Genomic DNA, 1,324 nt, shown 5'->3' with positions numbered 1-1,324 from the left:
AAGACTTCAATGTAAAAAAAAAATAAATTCTTCAATCAATAAGAAAAATAACAGAATAAAAATGGGCAAAAGGCTTGGACAGGCATCTCACAAAAAAAGAGATTAAAGGGGCCAATAAGCACATGGATACCAGTATCATATGTCATCAAAGAGGCCGGGCACTGTGGCTCACGCCTGTAATCCCAGCACTTTGGGAGGCTGAGGTAGACGGATCACGAGGTCAGGATATCGAAACCATCCTGGCTAACACAGTGAAAACCCATCTCTACTAAAAATACAAAAAACTAGCCAGGCGTGGTGGCATGCACCTGTAGTCCCAGCTACTAGGGAGGCTGAGGCAGGAGAATCCTTGAACCCAGGAGGCGGAAGTTGCAGCGAGCTGATATTGTGCCACTGCACTCCAACCTTGATGACAAGAGCTAAACTCCGTCTCAAAAACAAACAAACAAACATATGTCATCAAAGAAATATACATTAAAATCACAATCACAAAGATATCACTACATGCTCAGCAAACTGGCTAAAATTTTTTAGGGACGATACAAATGATGGTGAGGATGTGGAACAACTGGAACTCTAACCATTACTGGTGGGAATGAAAATAGATACAATCACTTCAGATGTGTTTATTAAAGCTAAAATATGTACACTCTACAAACTGTAATTCTACTACTTGCTATATGTGCAAGAGAAGTGAGTGTATAAAACTACCAAAACATACTGTATTCATCTGTTTTAATGCTGCTAATAAAGACATACCTGAGACTAGGTAATTTATAAAGGAAAGAGGTTTAATGGACTCGCAGTTCCACATGGCTGGGGAGGCCTCACAATCACGGTGGAAGATGAAGAAAGAGCAAAGGGGCTTCTTACATGGCAGCAGGCAAGAGAGCATGTGCAGGGGAATTCCCATTTATAAAGCCATCAGATCTTGTGAGACTTACTCACTACTACAAGAACGGTATGGGGGAAACTGCCCCTATGAGTCAATTACCTCCCACCAGGTCCCTCCCACGACATTGGGGATTATTACAGTTCAAGGTGAGATTTGGGTGGGGACACAGAGCCAAACCATATCACACACATTAACAGGGATATACATAACAGCTTTATTTATAATAGCCTCAAGCATGTTCATCATTAGAATGAAGAATGCATTTTGGTATATAACGGAATTTCACTGCAGTAAAAAATAATTAACTAAAGCTACACATAACCACACAGATGAATTTCACAGATATATCTCTGAGTACAAAAGAGTACTGTATGATTTTATGTATATGAATGTCAAGGACAAGGAAAACTAATCAATGGTGACAAATCA

At 39.9% G+C, this 1,324-nt stretch overlaps 1 annotated feature.

Moving 5' to 3' along the window:
* Positions 823-1,112: an enhancer, noted in NCBI's record as "active region_18914". NCBI's record gives its function as "activates an Ori minimal core promoter by ATAC-STARR-seq in GM12878 lymphoblastoid cells {active_cell/tissue: GM12878}" and the evidence as "EXISTENCE:reporter gene assay evidence [ECO:0000049][PMID:35858748]".

This window comes from Homo sapiens, chromosome 22 (assembly GCF_000001405.40).
Source record: "Homo sapiens chromosome 22, GRCh38.p14 Primary Assembly".
In the NCBI taxonomy this organism is placed as follows: Eukaryota; Metazoa; Chordata; class Mammalia; order Primates; family Hominidae; genus Homo; species Homo sapiens.
The sequence above is the reverse complement of the archived record's forward strand: the minus strand, read 5'-3'. Positions and strand labels throughout refer to the sequence as shown.